The following is a 21,828-nucleotide window of genomic DNA, read 5'->3' as shown; positions in this document are numbered from 1 at the left end:
ATGTTCAAATGCTAATCACATATCCAGGGAGACTCCAGTTCTGTGTTCATGCCTCTCAGCCATCAAATGACTTCGGGAAATATTAATTCCCTTCTCCAGGTTCAAAGTCACTTCAGGTAAATGAAAGAAGAAATGTGGTTTTTGATATCCTGGTGCAGAGTCTGAAGCTTGATTTCTGTGGAGGGTCTAGAGATTTGCTAACTGAAGGCATTATGGGATTAGTTAGTGCCCACTTCTATGTAGGAAATATTTTTCTGTCTCCCATTGATAATAGTAAATACAAAGGAACATCATTAGTTTAATATTATGAAACAGCCTGCAGTTTCAAAGGAATCATGTTTTTGATTTGGTGAGACAGGGCTGGATTCTCTACAGCCTATATTCATCATTCTGCAGATCATGGTTGTTGATTATTGAGGATTAGGCCTTCTAAGTTCTACAGCTGTGTTCTAGGTGCTTGGGACATATCATTGAACATAACAAAGATCCCTGCCTTCATGGAGCTTGCATTCTAACAGAGGGAAATAGTAAATAATAAATATAATAAATAACAAAAATAAACAGAGTCTTTGAAAGCAGTAATTTCTTTGGAAAAAAGAAACGAATATTGCAATATTGCAATTTAAGGGGATTGATAGTGTATTATAAGTTATTATAAGTTGCAGAATTAAATATCAGAGCAGTTATTATTGAAAAAAAATTGAGCTAATATTTAAGGGAGATAAAGGAGTGAACCATGTAAGTTTTGGGGCAAGGACATTCCAAACTGAGGAAATAGCAAGTGTAAAGGTCCTAGGGTAAGAGCTGCCAAACATGTTCTGCAGGTCAAGCAGGCATAAAGAGGGATGTAAGTTAATGTAATCATTTTATCCTTTCTAATCTTCAATTGATGTTAGAGTCTTTTTAGTGTTCCTAAATGTCTGTACACTAGATCCTGGTTGGCTGAATTGCCATCTGCAGTGGTCCTGCTACTGGATTCCTCTGACCTTTGGTCATTCTTCCCTTTAAACCTTTTACATTTTGACACTTCATTATTTTATGCTGCTTATTCAAAATGTATACTTTCTTTTAACGTTATTCTTTCTTTAGTCTCTTTACTTCACTTGGAGTCAGATTCTACTAGAATCTTTTTTGACCCCAAAAGCATTTGGAAACACATGAAGATATTTGGGGGAAGGGGAGTTGTCATGGTAACTAGGGAACTCCCGTTTCCTAGACTGCAGTACAGTGTCATGATCTCGGCTCATTGCAATCTCTGCCTCCCGGGTTTGAGCAATTCTCATGTCTCAGTCTCTTGAGTAGCTAGGATTACAAATGTATGCCACCATGCCTGGTTATTTTATTATTATTATTATTATTATTTTTGTATTTTTAGTAGAGATGGGGTTTTGCCATGTTGGCCAGGCTGGTCTGAAACTCCTGGCCTCATGTGATCTGCCCGCCTTAGCCTCCTTACATGCGTGAGCCACTGAGCCTGGCCAAAATATTGTCTAATTATTCATCATTCTGTAGTGTTGAGTAAATGTAACTTTTTTGTGTCTATATTATGTAGTTTTGAGTAAATGTAACTTTTTTTGTCTGTGTCTTTGGACACTTGTAGCCAAAAAGAGGAAGAAGAACAGGAGGCATACAGGGTATTTTAAGGTCTAGATTGAACCTGGACCTTGGAACTGCTTCCTAGGTGTTGCAAATGGGTAAGAAACATATGTAACAAACCTGCACGTTGTGCACATGTACCCTAAAACTTAAAGTATAATAGTAAAAATAATAAAAAAAAGATCAAAAAAAAAAAAAAAAAAGAAGGTCTGGCAGAAGCTGGGCCCTAATTAGGTGGACTTAATAGTTAGCATTCTGCTTGATAAAATCAGAAAGGCACTGAAAAATGGGATGAAGGATCAGACCTAGAATGGTAGCAACAGAACATGTTTAGTGTACATTTTATCTATAGTAAAACAAAACATTTATAATTATGAAAAATATTGGGGAGGAGAACTCTTGACGGGTTTCTGAAAAAATAAGAGTAGACGTAGAAATCAGTTGTCATACCCACTATTAATAATTAAAGGTGAATACTTTGTATGTTTTCATTTTTAGTATTATTCCTTTATTTTAGAAAATACTAAATATTTATTGGGGCTTTCAAATTTCACTTCCCAAATTATTTTCATCCTGTTTTTATTATAAACTTTTAAATTTAATTGTGATAAAGTTTCCAATCCTGATTTTTTTAGTAACTTAATATTCCTGTTGAAGATGGACTACTTGAGTCACGTTTGATAAAAATAAAACAATCTAAAGACATAATTACTAAAAAAAAAAGTAATTTTGCATATAAGGTGTTAAGCCAGTAAAATCAAGGACTCTTTATATTTATAGGAATGTCTTGTCTAGTGGTCTAACTTGACATGAAGAGAAAAAAAAAGAATCCTTAAAGGAAATTACAGCCAGCCTATCTATTGGATAAGTATCTCCCAACCCAAATTATACTGGGAACTAATATATTGCCTAAAGTCCATCAGTTTCATGGAGTGAGGGAAAAGAGGAAATAAGTAAGTAGAAAAGAGAAATAGACATGAAATAATTGTAAGTGTGCCTAAACATTGCTTTAGATGTGTCTTCTTACACATTGGCTGTCTTAACTGCCTGAGACAAGCTATACAGCTCTCAGTTGAGGAACTTGTTGTATAGATACCCTTTATGTTACTCATCTATTTTCCTATCTAAATATTTTTTTCTTTGAAAGCAGAGGCTGTGCATTTCATCTAGGCACATAGCAGAAGCTCACTAAATTTTTACTAATAGAGCTGATTCATATTTTAGCTAGTAAAACGGTTATGTCAAGGCAGTAGCATTTCATCATGACATACCAAAATACTGACTTATATTCTTACTGGGATGTGTTCTTCCATGGGTGTGACTATAGCGGTATCTCTAGGCAGAGGCAAAATATTTTTCAAGAAACAGTCTACGTTCCTGAGTAAGTACTCTGTTGATACCCTAGAATTTCATGCCACGCAAGATGGCAGGGATCCCTGTAACAGGAAAATGTGGAAAGTGCCACCAGTTGTCCATATCAATTCTAAGGTGACTGAATTCTTCACAATAGTTGAGTTGAAATAATATCATGTCCTATTGGGCCTAGCAGAAGGAATTGGGTAAAAATATGTTCCTCCAGGAATTGCCCTGCTGAACTGACTTTGTTTGGTATTTACCTTGTGTAAACTAGAAAATAGCTGCCAAAAAATTTTGAATTTGGATATATTTGATGATGAGCTTTTCCTTCTCTTACTAGTTAGACAACAGGATCCATTGCTTCTTGAAATATTTCTCAGGTTGTGATAATAAAACCATTTGAACTATTTGGAGAACAGCACATATACCCTGTTTGCAACAGCAGGAAGTATCACTTTATTCACATTTATAAAGTGTATAAATAAGTTGAAAAGAAGTGTGTATGTGTTTGTGGAAGTTGAAGGAGTCAGTTTTCTTTCTGAGGATGAGGTGTGATTTCTTATTTTTTTATGTTTATTTTTGGTGATTTTATAACTTTATTTGATGTATTTGATGATCAGCAGTTAGTTCTCATCCACAATGACTGTCTGTAGATTTTTGAAAGTGGTAACAGGTGCATAGGTAACCAAAGTGTAGAACTCATTTGGTAGATCTTCATCCTTATTATGTTTTCTCGACAGCCACACATGGATATGGTATGGCACATTCCTTATTCCTTTGGCCCAGACAGCTTTGTTGAGCCTGCTATCAGTGCACAGTTCTGGAGTTCCCCTCTCCCTCATGACAGATTTCCAGATCTCTTTGAGTGCCTGATGGGCATGCTTCTTGAAGCCCACTCCATGGATGCACTTGTGAATGTTGATTGTATGCTCAGGTCACCACCTCATTGATGGGAGAATGACCCTTCTTCTTTGTGGGAGCCATTCTAGTGGGCCCACGTTGGGGGTGTGATTTTTAAAAGTGAACAATCAGGTTTTATTTCTCAGCTGGTTTTTTTCTGTCAACTGGTAGAATAATTTTTTTCACGCCTTTTCTCTGCAGAGCAAGCTACCTGTTGGACAGTAGAGAAGAAGTGGTCATTGCTGTGGCCACCAGAGGCTTTTCTTTATCTAGTGCGGCAACATCACCTTCTGCTGGTGAACTTTATGATCACTCAAATATGAATTTTATATAATTTTCATGTGTCACAGAATACTGTTTTTTTTTATCTTGAAAAAAACTTTTTGAAATATAGAAACTATTCTTAGCTCATGGGCCACACAAAAATAGTTGTAGTTTTCAGATACTTCACCAGGACTTCTTCAGAAAGAATCACATAATATTGCTAATGGAAGAAGGATATAGATGAAAAAAAGAGATGATTCATGTATGGTTTTAATCACATGGTAGGGGTGAAAACCGTAAGTGTCAAATGAGAAAATGGAAACAATGTTCAGTATATCATGGTGGTAGCAGTAGTAAAGTAAGTTAAATAAGGTTAGAGACTGCTCTAGTTTTAGGAAGAATTTCTAGGGCTCTATGACCCAGTTTCTGTTGAAACACGAAGGAATCAATGAGGAAAGATTTGAAGGAAACCGGGAAAGATTTGAAGTTTACATGAAAGAAATAGTTATAGTATTTCTCCCAATAAAGGAGAAAGGAGAGAATAAAATAGGAAATCAGATCTCTCTTCCTTTGAGATAGTAGAAAAACACAATAAAATGGATGCATATTTAGAGAAATTTTGAGCTTTAAGCGTGTGGTGGCATCTTGGTTTGAGGTGGAGTAATTAGTTGTGAAAACCAGCAACTCTTATCTGATTAAGAATAAGGAATGGACAGGCGCAGTGGCTCATGCCTGTAATCCCAGCACTTTGGGAGGCCGAGACGGGAAGATCACCTGAGATCTTCCTGACCTGGAGTTCGAGACCAGCCTGACCAATATGGAGAAACCCCGTCTCTACTAAAACTACAAAATTAACGGGGTGTGTTGGCGCATGCCTGTAATCCCAGCTACTTGGAAGGCTGAGGCAGGAGAATCACTTGAACCTGGGAGGTGGAGGTTGTGTAGAGCCAAGATCGCGCCGTGGCACTCCAGCCTGGGCAAGAAGAGCAAAACACCGTCTCAAAAAAAAAAAAAAAAAAAAAAAAAGGAATAAGGAATGCTAGTATTGATTGGGAACGTGAGAAATATTATGTGAATAAAATTAATACTCAAATCAACAGCTGTGAGAAGAGATACGATTGCATGAAATTAGCAGGCCACATTCTGCTTTCTGCAATGAAGAGGGCAGAGATCAGTGGCTGGGAAGTACAGTTGTTTATATATTTGTTTCAGGGCCGAAACTGGGATGAGGCAAATGACAGGATCATTATTACTGACTTTTCTTTAGCCTTGGGCTCCAATGTGGCCTGATATGGCAATATTAAATTTTGTCTTCATTTAAAATTTTGATATTTTGTTAATCATGAATCTTTTGGAATCATTCAGTTTTTTAAAATATTATATTTAAGTATTTTTATGTTAATTACTTAGTTTTGAGCACCCCCTTAAATGGTATGCCCAAGGTTAAGCACCAGATTTTCTTAACTCACTTCACCCTAATCTAGTCCTAATTTGTTGAATGAACAGTGAGTTCTCCCCAGGTTGACTACTGACTTGCAAACTGTAACTAATGACCAGAGAAGCCAGAAACATAGGGTCTTAGATAATTGGAGCTTGAGATGATCGACTGTAGTATCCAATCCAATGGAACCCAGAAGTAGGCAAATAAATATCAGCAAGTTAAAGAGTGAGCTGGCTTTTGACACCTAGTCCATGCTTTCCTATCCTACTGTCAGAATGCTTGTAGAAACAGAGATGTGATATTAAGAAGTGATATAACCCAGAATATTTATCAGTAATATGCCAGACACCAGGAAGAATCTCTACAAACTAAAATGCAAATGGAACTTAGAAGCAGAATAGTAGTACAGCAGGATATAATGATGGAAGGAGGTTTTTTAACATTATTTTTTGTTTTTGCTTTTAATTCCAGTGCATGTCTGTACCTTTGAAATTCCAAACCTTTCAGGAAAGAAAGCTGTTTTCTGCTCTGAGGGAGTTGCTTTCTGACATAGTGGACTATTTCATGACCACACAGACCCCTTACCCCAACTATTCACCCATTAGTGCTTTGCTTTATTTAGAAGTAAGGTTCCTGATAATGTAATATGACCAAGGTAAAAGAAGATAGGTCATGGCACATTTCATTCAGAAATAAGAAACAATGCCAGGAAGATCCATAGGATGGATCTATGCTGTCTGGCATTGCATTTTTATTGATACAGTTTAAAAGAGAAGATCTGCTTCAGTTCATACAGTCTTTATTATTATTCTGTATAGATAGGCAAGCAGTAGAAGGAACCCAGGTGAACTTTCCTTTTACCTTTAGAGCCATAGTAAGTAAATTACAACTAATATTAGAAATTTGAGGGCTGGGCCCAGTGGCTCATGCCTGTAATCCCAGCATTTTGGGAGGCTGAGGCGGGAGGATTGTTTGAGCCCAGGAGTTCAAGACCAGCCTGGGCAACATAGTGAGACCTCCATCTCTACAAAAAAATAAAAATTAGCTGAGTGTGGTGACCTGCACCTGTCCTAGCTATTCAGGAGGCTGAGATAGGAGAGGATCTCTTGAGCCTGGGAGTTTGAGGCTGCGGTGAGCTATGATCACACCATTGCACTCCAGCCTTGGTGACAGTGAGACCCTGGCTCAAAAAAAAAAAAAAAAAAATTAAGGTCCGAAACATTTAAATATAGCACGTGGGTAATGAAGGAAACCAGGAAATTAATGTGGCACTACGTCCTCTTCTCCACTGATTTATTAGGAAAGAACAGAGCAGACCTTAACAATGAATAAACAGTCAAACAAAAACCAAAAGACTCAGAGTATAAAATAAGTGTAACATTTTTCTGAGGGGAAAGAAGAAAGACATATTTTTTGAAAAGATTTAAATCTAGGAAAAATAAGTAAATTTTTTAAAATATAATTTTTATTTTCCATAAGAAAACATATTTTTTTTGAAACAAAGTAGGAATGATGTTAAAAAGACTGGGTTGAAATTTGCCTGAGATATTGGAAAAGATTCAGAGGGAATTGGAGAGAGAAAATGATAAGACATTAAAATGTGATAGCAGAAATGAAATGTCTCTTAGAAGCAGTAAAAGACAGAATCAATAAAGCAGAAATTTAAAGCATAGATAGGGAGGAGAAATTAAAGGGATGATATAAAATAAGGTGGTGGGTGCAGTGAGAGCCAACATCCCTTCTAGAATATTGAGCTTATAGGAAGTGGGTTAGAGAAGATGGGAGACCAGTTCACAAGGACATTTGATTCTTTGGTAGGGAGTTTAGATTTGAATTAGTAATCAGGTAAAACAACACACATACACACTCACACATGCACACACACATACACACACAGAAAAAGAGACAGATTTATACACAGTACTCCAAGCCCTTGATCTCTGCCTCCTTGGCAAACAGGATTATTTATATGAAGATTATTCTGATGGTTATTTTTTAAATTCTAAGAAGTAAAAGTCTGTAGGTTAGGTTATGAAGCCAGTGAATGGAGTGATGGCTTTGCAAATGAAAAGTAATATAAGTAGCTTAAAGCATTGCAGAACATTCAGTAACTATCAGATACTGAAGTTAGTGAATGATGGAAATCTTCTCAGTCTTGGATTTGAGAGAAGCCCACAGTATGTACATAAGAACACATTAACAAAACTTGTTGGAAGTGTACAGAAAGGAGACTTCCAACCAGAGGTGTGTTTGCACGTTCATATATGTGTGTGTAAAGAAAACATGAACAATTAACTGAAAATGTTAAACTGTGCTTGCATTATTGCATTCATATTAACATACCTGAGAGTAATACGTACCATAAACTACCTAATTATACTGACTTGTCATATACTGTGCTGGAATCAACTTACAGTAGGATGTTATTTTCTGTGCTTTATTTGCAAGTTAACATTTTAATAATTATCATAAATAGTTACCTGATTTGCATATTGTGGTGCATAATCCAACTGTTCTGTGGATCAACCACAGTTATCTTATTATTCGTGCCAAGACTTCTATATTAGTCTGAATAATCTATCGTAGACTGCATTTCTGTTTCCAGTTCTCTGAGCTTTTTATAACTCCAAATATAGTACTTTTTTAATCAAAAGATTGAATCTTACATGTGTTAGTATAATAATCTTTCTGACCCACTAGTATATTGAAGTTAATTTTTTTTATTGTATAATTTCCAACATTTCTATGTAGTATCTTTTTTTTTTTAACCGTCATAACCCTGTGAGCTTGGCATTGAAGTGTTGCATCCTTTTTTGGCATATATGTATATATGCAAGAGTGGGCCTATGCGCTAAGAGCTGAAAAATTTGAAAAATATATTTGAAAATAGTCAAATTTGACTCTCAAGAGTCAAATTATAAAATGTGTGTAAAATAGATAACATAATAGAAATGATCATGTTAAAGGGGAAAAATGGCTGAGAGGCCAGATTAAGAACTTCACTATAGTGTAATCAATTGTACTAACATACTTAGAGGAAAACTGAACCTGTGTGAAGGAGGAGTGTCTAGAATTGGGAAAGAGTAAATATTCGTAATAACCATTTGAGCATTAGCTACAGAAATAGGAATTGTTTTAGAAAGCCATAACGTTCTCATCATTCATCCCCAAAGATGTGGAAGGATGAATGCATCAAGCTAGAGGAATTTGAAGCCATTAAAGTGAGATTTTTCTGACCCTCTCTAATTTGGCATTTTCCTTATCAATTTCTCTTCTGAAGCTGTGAATTCCCAGGTAGTTTTTGTTACATGTAAAGATCATATCGGTTAGGTTCTTATGAATATCTAATTCTCCACATTTTCTGGCTTCCCATAACATGTCATTAATTGGCATATATACTTTAATTTTTATATGAACAGAATTGGCTTGAAGTACCTGACTCCAGTGAAACAGTGCGTACTGAAAAGTTTACCTTTTAGAATACAAAGACTAACTACTTAACATCAGAGTGCTAGAGGTATAAATATTAGATAGACCATGTTCCATGAAGGCTATTTTTGTGTAAGTATACTCCTGTCATTAAATGTAACCAGATATATCCTGCTGAATTTTTATTTTCATCCTGTCCTTATCTGCTATTTGCTGTAAAGCATAGGATCAAATTTGCAAGGAAAACCCTATGTTTTTCTAAGACATGTGCCTTCAATTCATCTATGTGTTACGAGCAATTCAGTTATCTGTTAACAGTGAATAATCATTAACTCAGGCTGTAAATCTTTTTTTTTTTTTTCCTTTAAGAGATCGGTTACACTAATGTTGCCCAGGCTGGCCCTGAACTCCTGGGCTCAGGCAGTCCTCCCATTTCAGCCTCCTGAGTAGCTGGGACTGGAAGTGAGCGCTGCTGCATCCAGCCCCTCACCCAGCCATTAACCTATGCCTTAAAACTCTCCATAAAAATATGTAATGGTGCAATATTTATTAAGTATGCTCTACAGTATCATTTTTGAATGTTTGAAGTATTCTCTATAACAGAGGTCCTCAACCCCCAGGCTGTGGCCTGTTAGGAACCGGTCACAGCCAGAGGTGAGCGACAGACAAGTGAGCATCACTACCAGAGCTCTGCCTCCTGTCAGATCAGTAGCGACTTTAGATTGTCATAGGACCATGAACCCTGTGCATGCGAGGGATGTGGGTTGCACACTCCTTATGAGAATCTAATGCCTGATGATCTGAGGTGGAACAGTTTCATCCTGAAGCCATCCCTGTGCCCCTACCTGTGGAAAAATTGTATTCCATGAAACCAGTTTTTGGGGCCAAAAAGATTGAGGACCGCTGCTCTATAAGAAACTATTACTGAAATAAGGTATAAAGTCTTTATCTTACTTATATTTATATCCTCTATGGTGTCCACACACAAGGTGCTTTTTACACTTAAGTTGTTAAACTAAAATATTTCTTTAAACTTAATGGAAAATAAATGTAATCATGAAATATTTTTCTCTGATCCACATGTACTCATTCTTATGGTTAGAAATTTGGTCAGCTTGTCTTTGTCGGGGGTTTTGTATGGCTACGCGTTAGTTAACTGCTTAACTTTGGCAGAATGAAGGTACCAATGCATGCAAAGTGGTAACTTTAGCTGTACAATTGTTGAATGAGTGAGCCTAAGTGGAAAGTTAGTAAGCTTTGAAAACCACAATACATAGAGTTAAATATAAGTAGTTGGGATGACTTACGGTTTCTGATCAGAGATGTAGTGAGCTGGAAAGACATCACTCCCAAATGTAAAACAATGAAAAGCTGAAAATCAAGTTCACAGCTTGCCTTGACCACTTCTCTGAGTGCTGAAATTTCAGACCCATGGACAGACCCAGAATCTAGAGACAAATACCTGCAGGGAGAGGCATCCTACAAGTACTGACTTACCTGGATAAGACACAGCTGTACACCTCTAGAAAGAGATCAACTAAGATGATCGTTACATTGATAGAAGCCAAGTGTATACTGATGAGAAAGGATGAATATCCTGGGAGCCACAAATACAGAGGGAACCCACACCCTCTTGCAGGCTTGTTTATGAACCCATCAGTAAAAGAAAATGCCCTCCGTGGTGAGGAACAGGGGGAATATTACAGCAGCCATAGCCTGAGGGGGAATAATCTCCACGTGGACTCTGGAACAAAGCTATATTTTGTCAGAAGCGCTGCAACAATTACCATTCCCCTTAAGTACTGATGAAATCTTTTTGCAGTTGGGGTATGGAAACAGGGAAAAAACCCTCAGCCCCTGAGGAAGGGGTAGGAATATCTACAGTGATAAAAACTATACTAGGGGAGGAGAAGGATCATGGAGAAGGCTGTACACCTCAGACTTAGGGTCACAGTGTTCACCTAAGACTGAGGCTGAGTCAGAAGACCAAAGAAGACCTTCCTCCGTTTCTTACTCTGCTGTTAGGATCATAAGTACCTTGGTAAATAACTTTTTTGAGTACAAAGGAAAGACGTGACTTAGTATGTAGGTAGTGGTTCTGAAAATGAAGAAAGAAATATTTTTACAAACTAAATCCCACACCCCAATATAAGGTATCATTTAGGAATGGTAGCCTGTAGAGCACTGAGTGTAGCGTAGAAGTAACAAACTTCAAACCTAGCTCACTTTCTAATTATGTTGATGCAAACCCCTGTGCTAAAGTTTTAGCAGAAGGAAACATGTGGCCATATCCAAGCAATGAAAACTGTTTTAGTCTTTACTGTCATACATCTGATGACAATAATACATGAGAATTTAAACAAAAAGTTAAAAGCATATGAACGCGCAAGAAAAAAAAAACACTCAAAATAGATAAAGCAATTAGAACCAAAACACAAATGCAGATATGACATATATGGTGGAACTGTCCCATAAGTATTCTTAAATAACTATGATGAATATGTTGAAGGCTTTAGTGGAAAAGCTGGGCAACATTCAACATCAGATGGTTAATTTCAGCAGAGATACAAAAATTTTATTTGAATTAAAAGGAAGTCCTAGAAATGTAAAACATAGTAACAGAAATGGAGAATGGCTATGTCAGGGTCATCAGTAGAACTGGCAGGCAGTGAGCTGAAAGATAGGTCAATAGAAATCACCCAGACTGAAACACAAAGAGAAATAATAATGAACCATTCAGAACAGAACACCCAAGAACCATGAGAAATATCAAATGGTACATGTAATTGGAGTCTTGGAAAAAAAGAGAAAAGAGTAGAAGAATTATTTGAAGAAATAATGGCTAATAATTTTTCAAAATTAATGACAGACATCAAACTAGAGATTCAAGAAATTCAGAGAACTTAAAGCAGAATATAGAAAATAAAAATTTAAAAACCAACAACATTGTATATCATTCACACTAATAAAAACAAAAGACAAAGAATGTCTTAAAGACAATTAGAAAAAAATACTATATATTGTTCTAGCAAAAAATAGAAAACAAATGCAAAAGATTCTACCCCCCAAAATATTTTTTTTTGCTATTGAAAGTCACTCTACATTCTCACTGTTAGTCCCATAAAACCACTATTCAACTTTTTGTCTTATAACTGTAAATTTGCTTTTTCAGACATATCATATAAATGTAACTACATGGCATTTATGACTGTGCCTGTCTTTTGTTTAACAAAATGTTTTTGTGGTTCAACCATTTTATAGCATGTATCCGTACTTTGTTCCTTTTTATTGCTGAATAGCATTCCATTTTATTGTTATACCACATTTTTTTACTCACTCATTTTGTATTTTAGATTTTTGAGGAACCTCCAAACTGTTCTTTGTAGTGGTTGTACTAACTTACATTGCCACCAGCAGTGTATAAGAGTTCTACATCCTCACCAGCATTTGTTATTGGCTGTCTTTTGGATAAAAGCCATTTTAACTGGAGTGAGATGCTATCTCATTGTAGTTTTGATTTGCATTTCTCTGATGATCGGTATGTTGAACACCTTTTCATATGCCTGTTTGCCATTTCTGTGTCTTCTTTTGAGAAATGTCTATTCAAATCTTTCACCCATATTGTAATCAGATTGTTAAATTTTTTCTTATAGAGTTTTGTGAGCTCCTTATATAGTCTTGTGATTAATCCCTTGTTACATGGGTAGTTTGCAGATATTTTCTCCTATTATGTGGCTTATGTCTTCACTTTGTTCATTTTTTCTATTACTACACAGAATATTTTTAACTTGATGTGATCCCATTTGTCAATTTTTGGTTTGATTGCCTGTGCTTGTGGGGTATTACTCAAGAAATCTTTGCCCAGACCAATGTCCTGGAGAGTTTCCCAGATTTTTTTTTGTGGTAGTTTAATAGTTTGAGGTCTTAGATTTAAGTCTTTAATCATGTTTTTATTTGATTTTTCCATATGTCAGGAGATAGGGCTCTAGTTTCATTCTTCTGCATATAGATATTCAGTTTTCACACTACCATTTATTGAAGAGACTGTCTTTTCCCTGATGTATGTTAGTGGCACCTTTGTCAAAAATGAGTTCCATGTAGGAGGGTGGGTTTGTTTCTGGGTTCTCTATTCTGTTCTATTTGTCTGTGTTTGTTTCTGTGCTAGTGCCATCCTGTTTTGGTTACTATAGATCTGCAGTATAATTTGAAATCAGATAATATGATTCCTCCTATTGTGTTCTTTTTTGTTTTATTTTGTTTTTGAGACAGGGTCTCATTCTTTCACCCAGGCTGGAATGCAGTAGTGCAGTCTCAGCTGCCTGCAACTCTGCCTCCCAGCCTCAAGGAATTCTCCCACCTCAGCCTCCCAAGTAACTGGACTACAAGTGTGCACCATGACACCTGGTTAATTTTTTTGTAATTTTTATAGACATGGGGTTTCTTCATGTTGCCCAGGTTGGTTTCGAACTCCTGAGCTCAAGCAATCCACTGCATTGGCCTCCCAAAGTGTTGGGATTACAGGCATGAGCCACTGCACCAGACCTATATATATATACACACACACACACATATATATATATATATATACACACACACATATATATATACACATATATATACATATATATACACATATATATACACACACATATATATATACACACACATACACACATATATACATATATACACACACGTGTGTGTATATACTTTTTTTGGCTTATACATATATATACACACATATACATATACATATATACATATACATATATACACATATACACATATTTACATATATACATACATATATACATATATACACACATATATGTATATATGTATACATATATACAATAATATATGTATACAATATATAATATATATGTATACATATATACATATATATACACACACACGTGTGTGTGTGTGTGTGTATACTTTTTTTTTTTTGGCTTAGGATAGCTTTGGTTATTTTGAGTCTTCTGTGGTTCCATATACATTTTAGGACAGTTTTTTCTACTTGTGTGAGGAATGTCATTTGGTATTTTGATAGCGAATGCATTGAATCTGCAGACTGCTTTGGGTAGTATGGACATTTTAGCAATGTTGAGGTTTCCAATCCATGAACATGGAATATCTTTCCTTTTTTTGTTGTTGTTGTTGTTGTCCTCTTCAGTTTGTTTCATCAATCTTTGATAGTTTTAATTGTAGACATCTTTTACTTCTTTAAGTTAATTCATAAGTATTTAATTTTATTTGTGGCTATTGTAAATGGGATTACTTTTTTTATTCTATTTGAGATTCCTCACTGTTGGCATATAGAAATGCTACTGATTTTTGACTGGGCCACGGTGGCTCATGCCTGTAATCCCAATACTTTGGGATGCCGAGGCAGGCGGATCACGAGGTCAGGAGATCAAGACCATCCTGGCTAACATGGTGAAACCCCATCTCTACTAAAAATACAAAAAAATTAACCAGGCATGGTGGCGGGCACCTGTAGTCCCAGCTACTCAGGAGGCTGAGGCAGGAGAATGGCGTGAACCCGGGAGGCGGAGCTTGCAGTGAGCCGAGATCGTACCACTGCACTCTAGCCTGGGTGACAGAGCGAGACTCCATCTCAGAAAAAAAAGAAAAAAGATGCTATTGATTTTTATATGTTGATTTTGTATCCTGCAACTTAAATGAATTTATCAGTTCTACTAGTTTTTTTTTGTAGAGTCTTTACGTTTTTCCAAATATAAGATCATATCATTTGCAAACAAGGATAATTTGCTGTTTTATTTTCCAATTCGGATACCATTTATACCGTTATCTCATCTGATTGTCCAAGCTTGGACATCCAGTACTCTGTTGAATATCAGTTGTGAAAGCAGGCATTCTTGTTGTCTTCTAGATCTTAAAGAAAAGGCTTTCAATTTTTCTTCATTCAGTATGATACTGGCTGTGGGTCTGTCATATATGGCTTTTATTATGTTGAGATATGTTCTTCTGTCTCCAGTTTTTTAAAGGCGTTTATCCTGGAGGATAAAAGGAATGCTGAACTTTATCAGATGCTTTTTCAGCATGAATTTAAATGATCATGTGGTTTTTATCCTTCATTCCATTGGTAGGATGTATCACATTGATTGATTCGCATATGTTGATTTATACTTGCATCTCTGAGATAAATCCCACTTGGTCATGATGAATGACCTTTTTAATGTATTGTTTATTTTGATTTGCTAGTATTTTGTTGAGGACTTTTTGCATCATTATTCATCAGAAATATTGACCTGTAGTTTTCTTGTTTGATGTGTCTTTGTCTAGGTTTTGGTATATTGGCATTGTAGAATTAGTTTGGAAGTATCCCCTTGGCCTCTAGTTTTTGGAACAGTTTGAGTTTAGTAGGATTGGTGTTAGTTCTTCTTTAAATGTTTGGTAGAATTCAGCAGTAAAGCCATTATGGCTTTGATCTTGTTACTCATTATTGGTCTGTTCAGGTTTTGGATTTCTTCATGGTTTGATCTTGGTAGATTGTATGTGTCTAGGAATTTAAACATTTCCTCTAGATTGTCCAATTTATTGTCTTATAGTTGTTCATAGTAGCCACTAATGATTCTTTCAATTTCTGAGGTATCTGTTATAGTGTTTTCTTTTTCATCCATGATTTATTTGAGTCTTCTCCATTATTTTTCTTTGTTAGTATGGCTAAAGGTTTGTCAATTTTATCGTTTCAAAAAACCAACTTTTTATTTCTTTTTTTTTATTGTTTTGTTTATTTCAAATTCATCTATTTCTGATCTGATCTTCATTATTTCTTTTCTTCTCCTAATTTTGGGTTTGGTTTGCTTTTGCTTTTCTAGTTCTGTAAAATGCATCATTAGTTAACTATTTGGAATTTTTCTTCTTTTTTGATGTAGGCACTTACAGCTATAAATTTCCCTCTTACTACTGCTTTTGCTGTATCCCATAGGTTTTGGTGTGTTGTGTTTCCATTATCATTTGTTTCAAGACACTTTTCTTTTTTTTTTTTTTTTTATTTCTTCATTGACCTGCTGGTCTTTCTGGAGCATATTGTTTAATTTCCATGTGTTTGCATAGTTTTGAAAATTCCTCTTGTTATTGATTTGTAGTTTTATTCCATTGTGGTTAGAGAAGATGCTTGATAGTATTTTTTTTTAATGTTTTAAGACTTGTTTTGTAAACTAACATATGGTCTATCCTGGAGAATGATCCATTTGCTGAGGCAAAGAATGTGTATTCTGAACCTGTTGGATGAAATGTTCTGTAAATATCTGTTGAGTCCATTTGTTCTATTTTGCTGATTAAATCTGATGTTTCTTTTTTGATTTCTTTGTCTGGGAGATATTTCCATTGCTGAAAGTGGGGTGCTGAATTCTCTAGCTATTATTGTGTTAGTGTCTATGTGTCTCTTTAGCTTTAATAATATTTGCTTTATATGTTGGATGCTCAGTACTGGATGCATATATATTTATAATTGTTTTATCCTCTTCCTGTGAATTGACCCTTTTTTCATTATATAATGACATTCTTTGTCTGGATATCTATTTTGTCTGATGTAAGTATAACTACTTTTCTTCTTTTTTGGTATCCACTGGCATGGAATATCTTTTTCCATCCATTTATTTTCAGTCTCTATGTATCCTTATAGGTAAAGTGTGTTTCTTGTAGGCAATAGATCACTGTGTCTTGGGTTTTCATCATGTCTTGGTTTTTCATCCATTCAGACCTTCTGTCTTTATGCCCTTTAATTTGACAGTTTAGTCTATGTACATTTAATGTTATTATTGATAAGTAGGGACTTACCCCTGCCATTTTGTTGTTTTCTGGTTGTTTTGTAATCTTCCCTTCCTTCCTTCCTGTCTTCCTTCTAGCGAAGTTGATTTTCTCTGGTGGTATGATTTCAGTTCTTGCTTTTTATTTTTTTGTGTATCCATTGTATGTTTTTCAATTTGAGCTTACCATGGGGCTTATAAATACTATCTTATAACTCATTACTTTAAACTGATAGCAACTTAACACTGATTGTGTAAACAAACACGCAATTAAAAAAAAGCAATAAAAACTCTTTATTTCTGACCCTTTGGAGTTTGATTGTTAAATGCCTTGAGGTAATCACCTTTGGGTTAAATCTGCTTGGTGTTCTATAACCTTCTTGTAATTTTTTTTCTTTTTTGACGGAGTCTCGCTTTGTTGCCCAGGCTGGAGTGCGATGGTGGTCCTCTCTGAGCTCACTGCAACCTCCACCTCCCAGATTCCAGCGATTCTCCTGCCTCAGCCCTCCGAGCAGGGATTACAGGCGCCCACCACCACGCCCGGCTAATATTTTACTTTAAGTTCTGGTATACATGTGCAGAATATGCAGGTTTGTTACATAGGTATACACGTGCCATGGTGGTTTGCTGCACCCATTAACCCGTCATCCACATTAGGTATTTCTCCTAATGCTATCCCTCCCCTTCCCCTCCAGTGTTATTTCTAGTTCTAGATCCTTGAGGAATTGCCACACTGTCTTCCACAATAGTTGAACTAATTTATACTCCCACCAGCAGTGTAAAAATGTTCCTATTTCTCCACATCCTCTCCAGCATCTGTTGTTTCCTGACTTTTTTTTGATGATCACCATTCTAACTGACATGAGATGGTATCTCGTTGTGGTTTTGATTTGCATTTTTCTAATGACCAGTGATGATGAGCTTTTCTTCATGTTTGTTGGCCACATAAATGTTTTCTTTTGTGAAGTGTCTGTTCATATCCTGGTTATTTTGCCCATTAGTTGATGCAGTTTCTTCATAGTGTTGATGGTCTTTACATTTTGGTATGTTTTTGCAGTGGGTGGTACTGCTTTTTCCTTTCCATATTTAGTTCTTCCTTCAGAACTCTTGTAAGGCAGGCCTGGTGGTGACAAAATCTCTCAGCATTTGCTTGTTTGTAAGGGATTTTATTTCTCCTCCACTTACAAAGCTTAGTTTGGCTTGAGATGAAATTTTGGGTTGAAAATTCTTTTCTTTAAGGATGTTGAATATTGGACCCCACTCTATTCTGGCTTGTAGGGCTTCTGCTGAGAGATCCGCTGTTAGTCTGATGGGCTTTGTGAGCAATCTGACCTTTCTCTCTGGCTGGCCTTAACATTTTTTCCTTCATTTCAACCTTGGTGAATCTGACGATTATGTGTCTTGGGGTTGTTCTTCTGGTAGAGTATCTTAGTGGTATATTCTGTATTTCCTGAATTTGAATGTTGGCCTGTCTTGCTAGGTTGGGGAAGTTCTTTTGGATAATATCCTGAAGTGTATTTTCCAACTTGGTTCCATTCTCTCCATCACTTTCAGGTATACCAATCAAACGTAGGTTTGGTCTTTTCACATAGGCGCATATTTCTTGGAGGCTTTGTTCATTCCTTTTCATTCTTTTTTCTCTAATCTTGTCTTCATGCTTTATTTCATTAAGTTGATCTTCAATCTCTGATATCCTTTCTTCCACTTGATCGATTCTGCTGTTGATACTTGTGTATGCTTCACGAAGTTCTTGTGCTGTGTTTTTTAGCTCTATCGGGTCATTTATGTTCTTCTCTACACTGGTTATTCTAGTTAGCAGTTCCTGTGACCTTTTATCAAGGTTCTTAGCTTCTTTGCATTGAGTTAGAACATGCTCCTTTAACTCGGAGGAGTTTGTTGTTACCCACCTTCTGAAGCCTACTTCTGTAATTCATCAAACTCATTCTCTGTCCAGTTTTGTTCCCTTGCTGGTAAGGAGTTGTGATCCTTTGGAGGAGAAGAGGTATTCTGGTCTTTGGAATTTTCAGCATTTTTGCGCTGTTTTTTCCTTATCTTCGTGGATTTATCTACCTTTTATCTTTGATGTTGATGACTTTTGGATGGGGTTTTTGCGTGGGTGTCCTTTTTGTTGATGTTGATGTTATAGCTTTCTGTTTGTTAGTTTACTTTCTAACAGTCAGGCCCCTCTTCTGCAATTCTGCTGGAGTTTGCTGGGGGTCCTCTCCAGACCCTGTTTGCCTTGGTATCACCAGCGGAGGCTCCAGAACAGCAAAGATTGCGGCCTGCCCCTTCCTCTGGAAACTTCATCCCAGAGGGGCATCTGCCAGATGCCAGCCGGAGCTCTCCTATATGAGGTGTCTGCCGATCCCTGCTGGGAGATGTCTCCCAGTCAGGAGGCACGGGGATCAGGGACCCACTTGAGGAGGCAGTCTGTCCCTTAGCAGAGCTTGAGCATTCGCTGGGAGATTTGCTGCTCTCTTCAGATTCTGCAGGCAGGAATGTTTAAGTCTGCTGAAGCTGCTCCCACAGCCGCCCCTTCCCCCAGGTGCTCCGTCCTGGGGAGATGGGAGTTTTATCTATAAGCCCCTAACTGGGGCTCCTGCCTTTCTTTCAGAGATGTCCTGCCCAGAGAGGAGGAATCTAGAGAAGCAGCCTGGCTACAGCAGCTTTGCTGCACTGCAGTGGGTTCCCAGTTCGAACTTACTGATGGCTTTCTTTATACTCTGAGGGGAAAACTGCCTACTCAAGCCTCAGTAATGGTGGACGCCCCTTCCCCTACCAAGCTTGAGTATCCCAGGTCGACTTCAGATTGCTGTGCTGGCAGCGAGAATTTCAAGCCAGTGGATCTTAGGTTGCTGGGCTTTGTGGGGGTGGGATCCACTGAGCAAAACCAGTTGGCTCCCTGGCTTCAGCACCCATTCCACGGGAGTGAACAATTCTCTCTCTCTGGCATTCCAGGTGCCACTAGGGTATGAAAAAAACTCCTACTAGCTTGGTGTCTGCCCCAAATGGCTGCCCAGTTTTGTGCTTGAAACCCGGGGCCCTGGTGGTGTAGACACCTGCAGGAATCTTCTGGTCTGCAGGTTGCAAAAACCGTGAGAAAAGCATAGTATCTGGGCTGGATAACACCGTCTCTCATGGCACAGTCCCTCATGGCTTCCCTTAGCTAGGGGAGGGAGTTCCCCAACTCCTTGGGCTTCCCAGGTGAGGTGGTGCCCCATGCTGCTTCTGCTCACCCTCGGTGGGCTGCACCCACTTTCTAACCAGTCCCAATGAGATGAGAAGGGTACCGCAGTTGAAAATGCAGAAATCACCTGCCTTCTGCATTGGTCTCTCTGGGAGCTGTTCCTTTTTGGCCATCTTGCCAGATCCCATGAATAAGGACTTTTATAGCTAAAGAGGAGAAGTCAGTACCTGGCTTGAGAGCTTCAAAGGACAGGCTGACTCTCTTGTTAGAGGCTAATGTAGTTGGTGATATTTAGTTAAAGCTGATGTTCATTAACAATTTTGAGGATCCTAGGGCCCTTAAGAGTTAATTAAATCTCCTCTCACTGTGCTCTGTAAATAGAACAGTAAAGGCTGGATGTTAGTACATTTGCTTATAGCATGGTTGACTGAATATTTTAAGCCTATTCTTGTGACCTACTGATCAGAAAAAGAAGATGCCTTTCAAAAATGACTTCTCTTTGATAAGGCACCTGGTCACACAAAAGCTCTGGTAGAGATGTACAAGATTAATGTTGTTTTCATGCCTGCCAACACGGCATCCATTCTGCAGCCCCTGGATCAAGTAGTCATTTCTACTTTCACATCTTATTATTTAAGAAATACATTTCATAATTCATAGCTGCCATAGATAGTGATTCCTCTGATGTGTCAGAGCAAAATACATTGGAACCTTCTGGAAAGGAGTCATCATAATAGATCTATTAAGAATATTCATGATTCATGGGAGGAGGTCAAAATATCAGCCTGAACAGGGGTTTTAAAGGAGTTGATTCCAGCCCTCATCGCTGACTTGGAGATGTTCAAGTTTTAAGTTCAAGACCTCCTCAGTGGAGGAAGTAACTGCCGATGGACAGGAAATAGCAAGAGAACTGGAATTAGAAGCGGGCACTGAAGATGTTAATATATTCCTGCAATCTCATGATAAAACTGTAATGAATGAGGAGTTGCTTCTTTTGGATAAGCAGAGAAAGTAGTTTCTTGAGATGGAATCAGCCTTGAACCCGAGGGCTCCGGTGATCTGCCTGTCTGAGCCTCCTAAGTGCTACTGAGACTACAGGTGCACACTAACACTCCTGGCTACAAAGTTAATTACCCTAAAAATTAAAGAGCTTTTACAAATCAATAAGAAAATGATAATTTAGCAGTGAAAACAAGTTTAACCAGCTATTTAAAAATGGCGAGATGCAAATTTCCAATAAACATATTTTAGAAGTTTAGTTTTCCTGATATTCCAAGAAATACAAATGTACACAAGATCCTGTTAGATGGGAAAAATAGTTTTGAAACGTTATTATCTACTTTGATGATTAATTGGTAAAAGCTTAATGCCAGCCAGTTTAGGATGTATATATCAATGACTGACATGTTTATTCTACTGTATGATTTATCTTTTCAGCCTAAGTTCATGATCACCATAAGAATTAAGTTGTACTTTCCCTCTCTTCTCAGGTATTTCAAAACCTTTGTAATTTAAACTTATGATTTCCTGAAGATTGACTCTGCTCATTCCATAAAGAAAATAGAAATTATTAGGTGGGAGCTTTAGCTTTCTGTAACAGAGTTACCTGCAACTACATCTGTATCTTTCTGTTTTTTTCCCTAGTGATGTCTCTTCCGTTTCAGATCAGTTCTTCTACCTGTGGCCTAGATCCCATCCTCTTGTATCTTCTCAGGAATCTTGTATTCTATCAGTTATCTCTCAACTCTTATATATTCAACCCCTGTGTTTCTACTGGATCTTTCTTGTTTTGTTGATAGTCCTTCTTATCTTAGTAACTTAAGCTAGGATGAAAAGTCCCGTGCTGATCCCACCACTTCTTTCAGCTACAGCAGTAG

General features: G+C 37.2%; 1 protein-coding gene and 1 pseudogene across 65 annotated transcripts in view, besides 1 other annotated feature; one reads left to right on the top strand and one right to left on the bottom strand.

The window, feature by feature from the left end:
* Positions 1-21,828, top strand: part of TBC1D5 (TBC1 domain family member 5) — a 585,470-nt gene that overhangs the window by 273,546 nt on the left and 290,096 nt on the right. The window lies entirely within an intron of this gene.
* RPL31P19 (ribosomal protein L31 pseudogene 19) lies at positions 3,606-3,955 on the bottom strand (annotated as a pseudogene).
* Positions 19,035-19,329: a silencer, noted in NCBI's record as "tiled region #9690; K562 Repressive non-DNase unmatched - State 23:Low". NCBI's record gives its function as "represses a minimal TATA promoter and a strong SV40 promoter by Sharpr-MPRA in K562 cells {active_cell/tissue: K562}" and the evidence as "EXISTENCE:reporter gene assay evidence [ECO:0000049][PMID:27701403]".

The sequence above is a fragment of the Homo sapiens genome, chromosome 3, assembly GCF_000001405.40.
Source record: "Homo sapiens chromosome 3, GRCh38.p14 Primary Assembly".
Classification (NCBI taxonomy): Eukaryota; Metazoa; Chordata; class Mammalia; order Primates; family Hominidae; genus Homo; species Homo sapiens.
This window is presented reverse-complemented; position numbering and strand designations above follow the sequence as displayed.